Source organism: Homo sapiens, chromosome 13 (genome assembly GCF_000001405.40).
Source record: "Homo sapiens chromosome 13, GRCh38.p14 Primary Assembly".
Classification (NCBI taxonomy): Eukaryota; Metazoa; Chordata; class Mammalia; order Primates; family Hominidae; genus Homo; species Homo sapiens.
This window is the reverse complement of record NC_000013.11, coordinates 31,745,905-31,761,480: the sequence shown is the minus strand read 5'-3', so window position 1 is coordinate 31,761,480 and position 15,576 is coordinate 31,745,905. Positions and strand designations below refer to the sequence as shown.

Sequence of the window (15,576 nt, the reverse complement as noted above, 5' to 3'; positions counted from 1 at the left end):
ATAAATATAAATGTCTTGGAAAATATCATCTATTTCTAATACAGACATTGTCCATGTTTGACTTTAATTTTGAGGACCTCTGAAGAAAATATCTGAATTTTGTTTTTGTCACGTGCATACTGCTGTATATGTAGAAACATACTTGATAGATATATTGAGTTCTGATAACATTTATGTCATCTGACTTTTTTTTAATAAAGCAAAAGCAAAGTTTCTCAAAGGCTTTTTTCTGGGTGCAGCGGCACTCGTCTGTAACCTCAGCACTTTGGGAGGCTGAGGTGGGAGGATCACTTGCATGTAGGAGTTCAAGACCAGCTTGGGAAACATAGGGAGACCCTCTCTTTACAAAACAGAAAAAATTAACTGGGTGTGGTGGTGCGCACCTGTAGTCCTAGCTACTTGGGAGACTGAGGTGGGAGGATAGCTTGAGCCCAGGAGGTCACAGCTGCAGTGAACCATGATCATGGCACCACACTCCAGCCTAGGTGACAGAGGGAGACCCTGTCTCAAATAAATAAATAAATAAAGGTTTTTGAGTAAAATAACATTTCCTCAATTTGTCATATATTAATGTCAATTTGTCATATGTAAATGTAATTTATTTGCCAAATTTTCCTCTTCCTTTTGGTAAATCATATTTTTAAAAAAGGAGGCCTAATTGTGAAGTATTGTTATTTCACTATATGTTATAAAATAATAAAATATGCATTATAATGTAAGATACTGAAGTTCACACAAATACCTAAATCAATTAAAATAATTGCCCACAGTCTGCTTTGATCCTTGGAATCTTTATTTCTATTTCTTATTAATACTCTCAATGATGCTACTATGATGCTCCCTCACTTGCATTATTTAATTTGGGTTCAGAAATCCTCATGGGGTAAACATTCATGGCTTCTGATTCCCATGCAGCAAAGAGGAAAGGATGAGAATTTGAGTAACTTGCCCATTGGCATCCAGACAGTTGCCCCCAAAACTGAGCACTGACTGAGTACCTGCTGTGTACTCTACTGCTCTAAGCTCTGGTGATAAGACTCAGGCCTCTTCTCAAGGAGTTCCTGTCTAGGAAGATAAATACAATGATAAGGGCCAAGCGCAGTGGCTCATGCCTGTAATCCCAGCACTTTGGGAGGCCGAGGCGGGCGGATCACCTAAGGTCAGGAGTTCCAGACCAGCCCGGCCAACATGTTGAAACCCCGTCTCTATTAAAAATACAAAAAAATTAGCTGGGCATGGTGGAGGGCGCCTGTAATCCCAGCTACTCATGAGGCTGAGGCAGGAGAATCACTTGAACCCAGGAGGCAGAGGTTGCAGTGAGCTGAGATCACGCCATTGAACTCCATCCTGGGCAACAAGAGCAAGACTCCATCTCTAAAACAAACAAACAAACAAACAAACAAACAACAACAACACTGAAAAGATAAGGCATTCTACTTTGTGCAGCATACAGATACACCCAGGGTGCTGTGATAACAGAGAAATTGCAGCCATCCTAGACCGGTGATACAGCTTCAGGGGGGCCAGGGAAGCCCTCCTGGAGGAGGAGACACTTAAACCAGGCCCTAAAGAATGAGTAGAAGTGATCCACGGGAAGTGTGGATAGAGGCTATGTCCTTCAGAGGGAGGCACGCCTGAGTACCCAGGGGCAGGACAGGAGATTCTAGAGATGCATGCTGTGGGCTTTGCTGCCCCACTTTGATGGATGGTTGGGCAGTGCTGAAGAGAGGTAGCTCTCTGTGGGAGAAAACACACAGGATTCTTTTGGATTAACTAGACATGTCAGCCTCTCTTGGCATCAGTTTCCTCCAGAGAAAAATATTTTTTAGGTTTCAATAAACAGAGGTGAAATTGGCCTGTAAGATGCTCTGGGATCTGGTCTCTGGTTACCCCTTCATTCCATGTGTATACCCCTGTTCACTCTGCTTGAGCCACACACCATCAAACACATCATCCTGTTTCAGTCAGCCTTGGGCCTTTGCACTTGATGTTGCCTTTGCCTGGAATTCTGCCCCTCCAGAATATTTCACAGTATCTTTCTTTCTTTCTTTCTTTCTTTCTTTCTTTCTTTCTTTCTTTCTTTCTTTCTTTCTTTCTTTCTTTCTCAATCCAAATGTCATCATCTTAAAAAGATTTTCTCTGGTTACATCCTTGAAGTATCCCTCCCTCCAAGTTACTTTCTATCTCATTATCCTGTTTCATTTCCTTATTTATCACTCAGATTATTGATTTTTTTACATACAGGTTTATCATCATCTTAGTTCACATTACCCATGTGAACTCCACAAGGTCAAGACACTTGTCTCCCTTGAGCTCACTGTGTCCCAGTGATTTGGAGAGCTCCTGGCACATAGCAGGCACTCAGTATAGGTCTGTTCTATCAATTAATTCTTTAGCTAGGCCCATTCACACTTTATGCATTTTTTTTTTTTTGAGATGGAGTTTTGCTCTTGTTACCCAGGCTGGAGTGCAGTGGTGCCATCTGGGCTCACCGCAACCTTGCCTCCCGGGTTCAGGCAATTCTCCTGCCTCAGCCTCCCGAGTAGCTGGGATTACAGGCACCTGTCACCACGGCCAGCTAATTTTTTAATTTTTTTGTATTTTCAGTAGAGACGGGGTTTCACCATGTTGGCCAGGCTGATCTCGAACTCCTGACCTCAGGTGAGCCACCTGCCTCGGCCTTCCAAAGTGCTGGGGTTATAGGCATGAGCCGCCACTCCCAGCCACTTTACGAATATTCTTGAAGCTGAACCAAATTACCAGCCATAAGGAGGTATTCATAGAAAACTGCTTATAATTAAAATATGAGTATTGAAGTAGATTTTCAAATATAATTTTATTTTTATAAAATATAACATTTTATGATACTGTATTTCTGACTTAAGTAACCTGTACCTACAAAAATTCAGGTCGTTATCACAAATACATTGGGGAGTCATTATTTGTGTTTCAAAGGAAATCCCTACAGAACACCAAATCAGCTTTCCTAGTTTATCACAATCATTATCCAACCGACCCACAGTTTTGGGGTGTTCATAAAGTGAGGCACACATGGGGAGCCGAGGGGAGCACTCACCACAGTTCTCTTCGTCCGCCCCGTTCCCACAGTCATCCTTGCCATCACAGTGAAAAGCTCGGGGTAAGCACTTGGTAAGATTCCCACAGGGAAAATATCCTTTTTGGCATGAAGGAGTGATCATGCTACCTTGAGTCAGTGCAAAATCTACATGAAAGAAGGGGCAAAAACAAAGTGTTACCATGGCCAAGCTCTCTCCGTGTTGTCCCATTTAATTTTCACAAGAGCTATATGAGTTGAGTTCATCTGGTATTATTCTTAGTGCACAGTTTCTTTGAATAATATTCTCAATGACAACTTTATTTTTTATTTTTTATTTTTAGACGGAGTCTTGCTCTGTTGCCAGGCTGGAGTGCACGATCTCAGCTCACTGTGACCTCTGCCTCCCAAATTCAAACGATTCTCCTGCCTCAGCCTCCCGAGTAGCCAAGATTACAGACGTGAACCACCACACCCGGCTAATTTTTGTATTTTTAGTAGAGACGGGGTTTCACCATGTTGGCCAGGCTGGTCTCAAACTCCTGACCATGTGATCTGCCCACCTTGGCCTCCCAAAGTGCCGGGATTACAGGTGTGAGCCACCTCGCCTGGCCAATGATAACATTTTAAACAGCCATAATCACACCCAACATCAGCTATATCAAGAACAGAATCCAGGTTCATTTTGAATTCACTTCCACAAGGTAATCATAAACAAAACCAGATGTATTGTCCTAGATTTGTATGAAATCAAGGAGTCATCCACCCTTGGAAACAGAAAGGTAAAACCATGAGCTAATAAGGTCAAATGGGTAGATGTATTTACTTATTAATCTTTTACAAGAAGGACTTGAGGTGACATGATAAAAATATACCTGCAAAAGGAGAGTTTAAGTATGAGTTAGAGAGAAATCCTGGAACACATTAGAAAGAGGGGAACTAGAATTGAACATTGAACACTCATCTATCGTGTCTACTGGGTCTACTGTTTGCCAGACACTTCACACAGTGGTTATCATTGTTAATCTTTCAGCCAGCCTATGTATGGGCGATATTATCCTTCATGTTTTGGGATTAGGGAAGTTAAATATCTTGTGTGCAGTGGTTTGTCTGGGAAGTGACACAGGGTGGCTTTGAATCCTCCCTCTGACCCCATAGGCCCACCCTTAGCCATTGCACTATGAGACTATCAATCAATTCAGGAATCTGCATTTCAAGGAGCATAAATCAGGACTAGTTAGAAACAATCTTCTGGTGCAGGGTACATAAGAGAAGACCAATGATAGTTGAATAACAGCTGAGTTGAATAAGAAATTAAAGAAAATAAATATAATCGACATTTACAAAAGTATTATATCTATGGATAGGATGACCAAAACAATTCTAGCAATTTAAATGTAAGAGATATTCTTTCAATTTTGAGAGGATACTTTTCAGAAAATAAAGAGACATGTTTTAAGTTGGCTAATAAAATTACAGAAGTCATGTTTTTTTTAAAAAGAGTCCTGTCCAGGTGCAGTAGCTCACGCCTGTAATCCCAGCACTTTGAGGCCGAGGTGGGGAAATTACTTGAGGCCAGCAGTTTGAGACCAGCCTGGCCAACATGGTGAAACCCTATCTCTACTAAAAATACAAAAATTAGTCAGGCATGGTGGCACGTGCTGCAGTCCTAGCTACTCAGGAGGCTGAGGCAGAAGAGTTGCTTGAACTTGGGGGGCAGAGGTTGCAGCGAGCCAAGATGGCACCACTGCACTCCAGCCTGGACGACAGAGCTTGACTCAGTCTCAAAAAAAAAAAAAAAAAATTGGAACTTCACAGAAATTGATTTAAGGAGAGTGTAGACACAGGAATGTCTATAGGTCATCATGACTCATTGAAGGGAATGAGGGATGTGGGCAAAGTGCTCCTAACCACGCACTTTGGCTGAAGGCTAGCATCATGACCCAGAATTCCCTTGGGCGGGTGTGGGAGATGATATTTTTAACATAGCAGAAGGATAAGGAACAAACTTCAGTAGGAACATCATCTACTTTGTGCTGGGCATTTCCTAGTTACTTGATTTGATGTTAATGGCAACTGTGTATGTTTGGCGTTAATATCCCCAAATAAAGATGAGGAAACGACTGAGAACACGAAGGCACGTCTACTTTGGTTCTTGGGAAAATGCTCTTGTGAGGCCTGAGCCCTTCAAGCAAATGCTGCCTTGTAGAGAAGCCCCTCAGGAGACTCTCCTAAAGGAGGTAGAACCTGCTGCTCTCATTAACAAATGATGTCATTTGTTAAAGGGCAGGGGTTGGAGTTTAGGCAACAAAGCTATGTCTGAATTACAAATGCACATTAAGCTTTTAGGATGAGTAGATCATTTCAGCTTGAGTCATTTAGTCCTGATGACCCTGGAGATCCCGCAAGCACGGAAAAGCAGAGCCTCTGGCCCTCTCTGGGGTCAGCCGGGTGTGCTGGTGCACACTTCGGAGGCTGGTGTGGCCACAACCTCTGGGTCTTTTCTGACTGAGGAGGAAGACTCAGAGCGTGGCTTTTGGATGCTTTTCTGCTCATTGGAATTTTGATCTTACAAAAGCAAAAATCATTTTCTCTGCTATTGCTGCAGTAGTGGATGAAAGATTTACTACCGGCAGCTAGGCATAAGACCAGTCAAGTCTGTGACTATTTTAGGAAGACTTCTCCACTGCATGGCACTGGGGTTGGCTTGTTAAACCTGTTCACGCAGGGAGAGGCATACTGTGTCATAGATTTTAAAATCCCTTAATTTCTTGCTTGTAAAGATTTCTATAGGAGTCAGATTTATAAAAATGAGTAGTCCTCCTGTGTTTGGAACATGAACGAGAGAGTCAATATATCTTTGTGTGGTGGCTTAGAAATTTTTTAAGGCAGTAATTTGCAGTTAGAAATATATTTTATATCACAATCCAGCATGCACCCAGCCGTACCCACGCTCCCAACACACACCTACACCCCCACACTCACTCTCACACCCACACACACTAGCACACACCCACGCACACTCATGCCCACACCCACACCCACATCCACATAATGAAAACAAAATTTCCCGAAATATCACTCTTTTAAAGTTATGTGGGATGAGCTTTGATCATTGCTATTCTATCTTATTCAGTTGAGAAGGGATCACATGCCTCTAAGTTGATTTCATGATCCCCTAATGGGATGTGACCCACTATTTAAACACATTCGTTAGTGATAATGCACCTCAGAGACACTCAGACCTGGATTAGAATTCTCTCTGCCACTCACTAGCTGTGTGACCTCAGGTAAGCTACTTAACCTCTTTAAATCTTAGTTTCCTCACATTTATAGTAGAATTAATGAGAGCATCTCCCTTGTGGGTATGTTTTGGGGACTAGACAAGCTGATGCTTATGAAGTGGTGAGAGTGCCTGGCCCATGGTAACCCTGGGTTGATGTCGGCACACAGGCAATTTCCATACAATGTAAGAAAATAGAATGTTAAGAAGGAAGCTCTATGTAAAATGGAAGCTTGCTGTGCCTCAGCATTTCATGATTTTTTATGTGACTTCTCTGAAAGAAATAATAGGGACTAAAATAAAAGCTTCCCCTACTTCTTTATGTTATTCCATCTTAAAAGCCATATCACATGTATGATTTTTATTTTATTTCAAATCTCTTTTGAAAGCTGAAGGAGGACTGTAAATGATAAATAACCAAGGAAAATGTCCTTACAATCTCCTAACAATATTTTCTTAATGTTTAGAAGAAGCGATTAAGCATTCGATTAAAGAGAATTTTGAAATAGAGAGGTGAGGCAATGTGAATAGGATCTTTTGAAGGTGGCATGTGATGTTTCCTTCCAGGGTTTATTATGAAAATAACTATGAGTTGCTTTTTTTTTTCTTCTTGAGATGGAATCTTGCCCTGTCACCCAGGCTGGAGTGCAGTGGCACAATCTCGGCTCACTGAAACCTCCCCCTCCCGGGTTTAAGCAATTCTCCTGTCTCATCCTCCCCAGTAGCTGGGACTACAGACACACGCCACCACGCCCGGCTATTTTTTGTATATTTAGTAGAGATGGGGTTTCACCATAATGGTCAGGCTGGTCTCAAACTCCTGACCTCAAATGATCCACCCGCTTCGGCCTCCCAAAGTGCTGAGATTGCAGGTGTGAGCCACTGCGCCCAGCTGACTGTGAGTTCTTTGAGGGCTGGACCTAACTAAATGCCCATCTCACATATGCAGAACGTCTAGGCGGCAGAGGCAAACAAGCAATCAATTGTCACAAATAAAAGGCATCAAGATGGTTTCCTTTTCCCTAGAAAAAAGATTGAGTTGCATCTAACAAGTGTGGACAAAGAAGGGGAGGAAGAGACTGAACATGTACGAATAGAACCTGCCGACTGCATTTCTTGTCATTCCCCATTTTCCACCCCAGAGTGGCATCTTCCTGAAGACATTTCAAAGCACAAATTTTATGTATAAGGAGAATAAATGAATACAATGTATTCCCCACCCTTTTCTCTCTGTGGCTTCCATCTCTATTGTCTAACTTAATGTCTTACTTGGTGCTCAGTAACTTTTTAAGTGAACATGTGAATTAATGAGCCATTTAGAAATAAAAAAAAAAGGAATTGAAGGAAGAGCACTTTTCAAAATTTAAGCTTCCCAAAGCAGCAGATTTAGGCTGTTATTCTGATGAGAAATTATTTTTTAGTCTTCCATGCACTTCATTTATCATTCCACTCTGTCATTATACAAATTAAATAAAAATTAAGAACCCCTGCTGTACTTGGTACATAGTGAAAAAAGAATCACTAGCTCTCTGTAGAAAGTGTATTCTGTGGTCTATTCTTCCTGCTCTCTGTGGAAGTGGAAAGAGACAGTTTTTACTGAAGCTTGGGGATTATAAAAATGGAGGATGCCCGCATGGTAGCAGTGCTGATGGCTTCTGCAGTGGTTTCCATGGGACCTCTGCCAAACACACAGCTGAGAGGAGGCTCGAACATACGACAGAGAATTGCTCAGTAGTCACCCTTCTTCTGTCTTCTGGTCAATATTCTGGACGTGTCTGTGCCAAGAGATTTTAAAATGACGTTTAGATGGCCTTTTAAAGCCAACTGGATTGCTGCTCAAGGCTATTTTTTGCTCCCCATCAACACTTTCCCTGGATTATTGGGAAACAACAGGTGAGAATCATCTTTCAGGTCCTCAGTTTAAGAATTGATGGAGATATACAAGTCCCTTTTTGCTTTCTCTATTTCTCTGCCAATGCTAGTCCTACATAAAGCTGAAGAAAGCCTGTATCCTCTCAGCCAGATGTTCTGGCTCTAACACCAGGGGCGATGGCTCCAGGGGGGTATAGGCCAAGGAGGAGTGCATCACGCTTAGTGGTGTTTAACAAAAGTCAGACGACCTGGTCACCAAGGATGGCAATGGTGCCTCAGAGGGGCTATAGAAATTGCCGGCAAGCCTTGCCATCTGTTCCAAAGAGCCAACTAACTGCAGCACCAGAGGGAACATTCATTTAGCATCCAGAAATGTTAACTAAGTGCCTACTATGTGCCGCAGTTTGTTGTCAGTCAGCAAAGCAGACAGCGTCCATCACTACCAAGAACTCAGGGGCTGGCATCTCTGAGGGGGGCAGCAGCACTGTCCCGGGCGGCTCCACTGAGAAGCCAAGGAGAAGTAGCTCCATCAGCGGAGTGCACCTGGCCAGAGCCTGCCCCTACTTCTGCGAAGAGTCAATTTTACTAAAAGTCCACCTTTGTTGGATAGATGATTTGTTGTTTGTTTGGAGAAAACTAGGAAAGTCTTTCTTAAAAGGCTTTAATGCTAAGGTAGGCGAAGAGAAATTGGCCTCTTGGTGGTTGTTGTTGTTGTTGTTTTCCAAACTTGGCAATCTTACCCTTTCAGGCAACTGTTTGGTACTCCCCGCCTGGATGGTGTTTCTTGGCCACATCAATCGTTATATTCAGAAGTTTGATCCAGTTTCATTCACACATATTTACCCCACCTCCTTTCCACTTCAGAGATTCCTGCCCTAATGGAATTTCTCCCAACCTCTATTTTCTGTCGTGTTCTTCTGGGACAAAGCAAACACTTCATGCTGGTAAAAGTCCCTCAGGACCCTATCCACAGATTTTTTGGGGGGGAGGGGGCAGAAAATATTACCCCCCTCCTTCTTCAGATGACTGCCTAATGTTTGAAAGACAGATTTGGGGAAATGCTGCCTAACTTTGTGGAACAGAGTGTAGGCTCAATACATTTTCATTTACATTGGAAAAAAAGAGAATTTCAAACTGCCAACCTCATCCTTACCAGGGATGGATGTCAGCCCCACATCCTCCTTGCCTGGGTGTCTTTATGTGGGTCACAAACAGAATGCTGTGGCTGTTGGTGGGTTATAAGGGATTTAAGGGAAGAAGGAAGACTTCTCTTCCAAAAGTATTATTTCTGCTGACTGGTAAACTGCCAAAACTCCACCTTTAGAGATGCATTCTTTTAGGTTAAAATCTTACCTTTCAGTATGTAAAATTCATCTCGTTCTGCATGAGTTGAGAGACTACCTTCTTCCTAAAGCCTGCCTGAGGCGAGTGAATGGAGAGAATGGGCAGTGTGGTGGGTGAAGGGGAGAAGACCATGGAAAGGGGGATTGTGAAGGAGACAGGCAAGGGGAAGCCCGATGGGAACTTGGTTTGAGAAATGTGGAGAGAAGGTGGTACCTTGGTCCCTTCACCTCTCTTTTAATTCTTCTCTGATTCATTGACTGCTATGTCCCATGGAACTTTCACTGGCTGTTCTTCCTCTGAGTGGGAATTATCCCAGATTCTATTCCCATCAACTTACGAATGTACCTGCATCCCAGGCTGCAGTGTATGTTTGGGCAGGACCCACCTCACATAAGCGTGGGTACCATCCACATAGACTGCTCGTGCTGAGTGTGTGGAAACTGCACAGGACTAGACCAGGTCCCTGGATTCTTCTTTTGTGATGCACAAAGAATGAAGATCTCTTGTCTTTCCTATAGTAAAGCCTTCCATCTATGTTCTGTGCTCACCTCGACCTTGCTTTCTCAGACTCTGCATTCATTGTTTCCTTTCTTTCCTATATTGTGTATATATATATAATATATATGTATTTCTTGAAATGGATTTTCACTCTTGTTGCCGAGGCTGGAGTGCAATGGCATGATCTCGGCTCACTGCAACCTCCGCCTCCAGGGTTCAAGTGATTCTCCTGCCTCAGCCTCCCAAGTAGCCGGAATTACAGGCATGCGCCAACACACTCAGCTAATTTTTTTGTATTTTTAGTACAGATGGGGTTTCACCATGTCAATCAGGCTGGTCTTGAACTCCTGACCTCAGATGATCCACCCACCTCAGCCTCCCAAAGTGCTGGGATTACAGGCATGAGCCACTGCACCCAGCTATTTTCAATATCTTTGTCTCTCTATTGCACAGCTCCCATCTTCAAAACAAACGAGTCAACCAACCTAAATCCTGTTATATCTGCCTGCCTGTAAAACTGAGATATACTCTCCTCCCCTTCACAATTAAATTTCTCAGAAGAACCATACAAGTAAGTCAATGTCTCCACTTCTTTACCACACTTTCATTCTTAAATCCATAGCTTCCATCTTGACCTTGCTGCTCCGCTGACATTCTTCTCACCAGAATCACTGTCATCCATTTTGACACTAAATCCAATGGCTCTTTCATAGTCCTCATCTTGCTTGGTTTTCTGCATTTGACACATCCAACCTTTGTCCCCAGGTTAAAAACTTTTTTCCCTCCATATTTTCTAAAAATTCCTTTTCTTCCTCTTTATCTCCTTAATTCATCAGCTCCATTTTCTTTGTCAATACACTGACTATCTCTGACATGCGTTAGATCAGAGGTTTCTAGATTTTTGCATTTCTTAGACCAAATAAATTCAATTAAAGAATTTAGAGAAACCTGTCAAAAGTCACTAATGTTTTAGTTTGTTAAATAAGGATGATTTTAAAACTCTGAGTTACCATATATTTTAACATTGATTTATTAGAAAAGTAGTATTTTAGTGTTAAAAATTAGAGAGACTATACCTACAGAAGAAAAGACAATCTTTTCAAAGGAATACATTTGGCTTTATGAAAAATGTATTCCTTTGAAAAGATTGTCTTTCATCTAATTCATGCTGATGAGACGGTGAAACTTTCATTCCTGACGCAATAGTCAGGACCAGTGTTTTGAACCATGTGTGAGAAAACGGAAATGGGCAATGCAACCAGAATTCTTTAGGGAGGTTAGTCCTCTGTTCTGTGACTCACAAATATTTTCTTGCAGTTTGTCACTTGTTTTTAACTCCGTTTATGAGAGGCTCCAGAGATGGAACTGCCAGATCCTGACTTTAAAATAACTATGCAAACTAAAAATAGAAGGTAACTTACTTGATTTAATTAAGTGTAGTTATCTATAAAACCCCACAGCATATGAGTGAGGTTTTGAAGGGTTTCCCTTTGAGACTGATGATGTCCACTATTACTATATCTATTCATTGTTGTACTGGAGGGCTTAGCTAATGGAGTTAAACAAGGAGAGTAAATTAATGGCATACATATTGGAAGAGAAGACATAAAACTGTGATTATTCATAAATAATATGACTGTGAATATTAAAATAATAAATTATTAGCATTGGTGAATTTTGCAAAGTTTCTATAAAGTCAATTGTATTTTTATATTTCAGCCACAATTAGACAATGAAACATTTTAAAAATCACACCTTTTACTACAGCATGAACAGGGTCATGTATTTAGGAATAAGTCTAACAAAAAATGGGCAAGACATTTATGTAAAGTATATACTATTAGTGAAAGACATTACAAACATAAATAAGTGGAGGACAATATTTTAAAGATGTTCATTCTTTCCCTAAATCAATCTATAGATTCAAAGAAATCTCAATAAAAATCCCAGGAGTATGTGTGTAGGAATGGATAAGTTGATTCTCAAAGGCATGTGGAAATGCAAAAGAACACGAAGAGCCAGGCTACCACTGAAGAAGGAGAACAAGGAGAGAGGACTCATTATCTGTATGGCAAGACATATTATAATGGTACAATAGTTCAGGCAGTGTGATGTTGGTGGAAAGATTGAAAAATAGACCAATGGAACAGAATAGAAAGTTTGGAAGAAGACAGACACATATGTAATCATTTGTACCACAGAGGAGTGAGGCGAGGTGATGCTCAATTCTAGATAGATAATAGGTTGAAATATGAAAGGAGAAACAATACAGTTTCTAGAAGATAACATAAGAAAAAATCTTTATGACTGTGAGATAGATGTATTAAGGAGAATACAAAGAAGAAAAGCCAAATAAAAGTACTAATCATAAAGGAAAAGATACCTAAATTAGACAATATACAAATTAAGAACGTCCTTGTATTTATTTTTTTTGAGATGGAATCTTGCTGTGTCACCAGACTGGAGTGCAGTGGCACGATCTTGGCCCACTGCAACTGCTGCTTCCTGGGTTCAAGAGATTCTCCTGCCTTAGCCTCCTGAGTAGCTGGGACTACAGGTGCACAACACCACGCCCAGCTAATTTTTCTTTTTCTTTTTTGTATTTTAATAGAGATGGGGTTTCACCATGTTGGCCAGGTAGGTCTCGATCTCCTGACCTCGTGATCTGCCCGCCTCGGCCTCCCAAAGTGCTGGGATTACAGGCGAGATTTTTACACAGTGCCTGGCCTGTCTTTTAAAAAAAGTCATCATTAAGAGAGTGCAAAGACAAGCTGCAGAGTAGAGGATATTTGCAAAGGGTCTGTAATTAACAAACGTATAGGTGTCCTACTAATCAATAAAGAAAAATGAACGGTAAATAGAAAAATGGGCAAGAGACTTGAATAGGTACCGAACGAAAGAGGATATCTGAATGACGAAAAACATCTGAAAAGGTATTAAATCTAATTCATAATCAGAGAAATGCAAATTAAAACCATGATAAAATATCACTAAGATTACTAGTATGGGTGTAATTTAAAAATAAAAAACCCAATGATACACTATTTGGTGAGGATGTAAAATCATGCAAATCCTCATACACTGGTGGAGTGTTAATTGGAACAGCTGCTTTGGAAAACAGTTTATCATTATCTACTAAGTTTGAAATTGTGCAAACCCTACGAGTCAGTAGATTTACTTCTAGGTAAATGCCCATAGAAATTCATGCACATGTGCACCAAGAGATTCATACAAGAATGTTCACAGCAGAATTATTCACAATAGCCCCAAGCCAGAAATAATCCAAGTGTCTTTGAAAAATAAAACGGATAAACATTTGTGGAATATTTCTCAATGACATACCATATAGTCTTGAAAATGAGCAAACTACAACATCCAAAGTGATTTCAGATCAAGCAGGGCCAGTGGACAGTTCTCCTTCACTTTTTACAATTATCTTGTATTCAGTTAGGAAAACATTCTTTGCAGCTCTGACTTTTAAGATAATTAAGATACTAAGATTGTAGCATGTTCTGTTCTCTGTATTTCCTATTTCTTTGATGATCATCTCAGAAGTCATTTTTGCAAAAACTTTACTGAGACTTTTCAAAACCACTCCTCAGTACAAACTTTCCCTTTTTTCTACCCAAACCATCTTGCACATACCTCTATGTAATATTTATAGCATGTCATTATTATTATACTATTAAGCTGGTGCAAAATAAATTGTGGTTTTTGCCATTAAAAGTAATGGAATTTATTAATTTTGATTCTCTCAATGGCTAGAAAAGTTTTCAGTTCTTAGTATATAGCAGATGCCTCAAAAATTGTTGTCTGAACTTAATTAACATTTTCCGGAATAGCAATGCCGTTTCTGTAAGTGAGCCACAAAGACCTAAAGCTCCATATGTAGGAGTGGAGAGCACATCAGTGCTTCAGTGATAATCCATGTCAGAAGCTTAGGCCAAACTTGGGCATACATCTGCTGATGATGATGTCAGTGTGGGTTGAGTGCATGTAATAGAAGCATTATGCTCATTTTCTTTTTTTCATTTATCTTACACCAATGGTTCAGTTTTTTTAAGTGAAAAACTTGCTTGGCAACATCTTCTGTTTTTTTTAAGCCATTTTCTAGGGAAGAGGAGCGGTGGCAAAGGGCCTCTCTTAATTTTTCAGCTGGAATCTATGTAGGATGGGGTAAGGTGGCCCATATAATTTTGAGAATCGGGTCACAGCACAGGTAATTTTCTCATGCTTTATTCTTTTCAAAACTTACAATTCACAGGTAAAATGAACAAAAATAACAGCATGTACACAACCCTGTGCTTTTAGGGAGGGCAATTTATTTTTCCAAGTGGTTAATTTTAACTTTAGTTATTACAGTAAGAGTGGCATTTTAAAGTGGGAAACAGGAAACAGCCAAAAAGGAAATGGCTTCAAATAAGGGAACAGAGTTTTCCTGTAACACTCAGTGTAGATTATTATCCTTTTCCTATGTATAAGAAAGTTTACATAACTATCATCTCACCCTCAGATTGAATTTTGAGGCTTTTAAGGGAATACTTTTACAGTGGCTCTTAAGGCAGAATGAAAGAGAATCAGTGTCTTCTACATTTCTTATATACCATGGGTTTACATGAAAGGAAATTATGAGTAGAAATATCTACAGCAATAGATATATTATTTTTTAGCCTGTGGGGTTGAAACAGAATGTCCCAGGCAAGGTGTGAATAACAGAAAAAGAGAGAAAGAGGCAATGACCTATTCAATGTCTACTGGCTGAGCTATAATCGAATAAAAAATTGGATAAAGAAAGCCAGGTGATGAATAAGAAGTAGAATCTGGCCCCAAATCAGAAGAGATTCTTCCTTAGCCATTTGTCTTATGAGTTTATTAATTTCTCTTAAAGGTGGGAGTGGTAATTAACATCAAGTCTGCTCTATAGGTAAACTAGCATATTAATTACAGTTTTTGAACTATACTATTTGTTAAGAAACTTTATATTGATAAGTAGACAATGTAGATTCAGCTATTCCCTTACCAAATACTTAATTTGTCCTCATTGCCCCCAAATTTAAAACACCGTTTCAAGTAGAATTAATGTGTCAAACAATCCAGGTGAATCCAATTAGCAATCCTGATACATACAAAGAATATAACAAAAATTAGCATCTCAAAGAAAAAAAAGCCCATGTATATTTTGGCCAGTTTTTCCAGGTGTATGATCCATTGAACAGGTTTATCAGAATCACCTGGGCTGCTTCCTAAATGTGCAGAGCCCATGACCCACCATAGACCTATTGAATCATCAGGGGCTGGAGTTCTGGAATCTATGTCTCTGACATCATGACAAGTGGTTCTTGGAAACTCGATAATTATGTAAGTATTGTGGATGAAGCGGAGAAGTTATTTGGTATGCCGAAGGCCAAACGCCAGTCAAGGTCAAGGCTATGACTTGAACATGGGTTTGCTGACCCCAAATCCAGCATCCTTGTTGCTCTGCTGCCTCCCGTCTCCTAATCTCTTAACGTTTGTGTAGCACTTT

The 15,576-nt window shown here is 40.5% G+C and overlaps 1 protein-coding gene across 3 annotated transcripts in view; it reads right to left on the bottom strand.

Moving 5' to 3' along the window:
• RXFP2 (relaxin family peptide receptor 2) overlaps window positions 1-15,576 on the bottom strand; it is a 63,864-nt gene that overhangs the window by 41,909 nt on the left and 6,379 nt on the right. For all 3 annotated transcript variants that reach the window (NM_130806.5, NM_001166058.2, XM_017020389.2), the window contains exon 2: window positions 3,077-3,223. In NM_130806.5, coding sequence (NP_570718.1) covers window positions 3,077-3,223 — 147 coding nt within the window. The remainder of the gene's footprint in view (window positions 1-3,076; window positions 3,224-15,576) is intronic.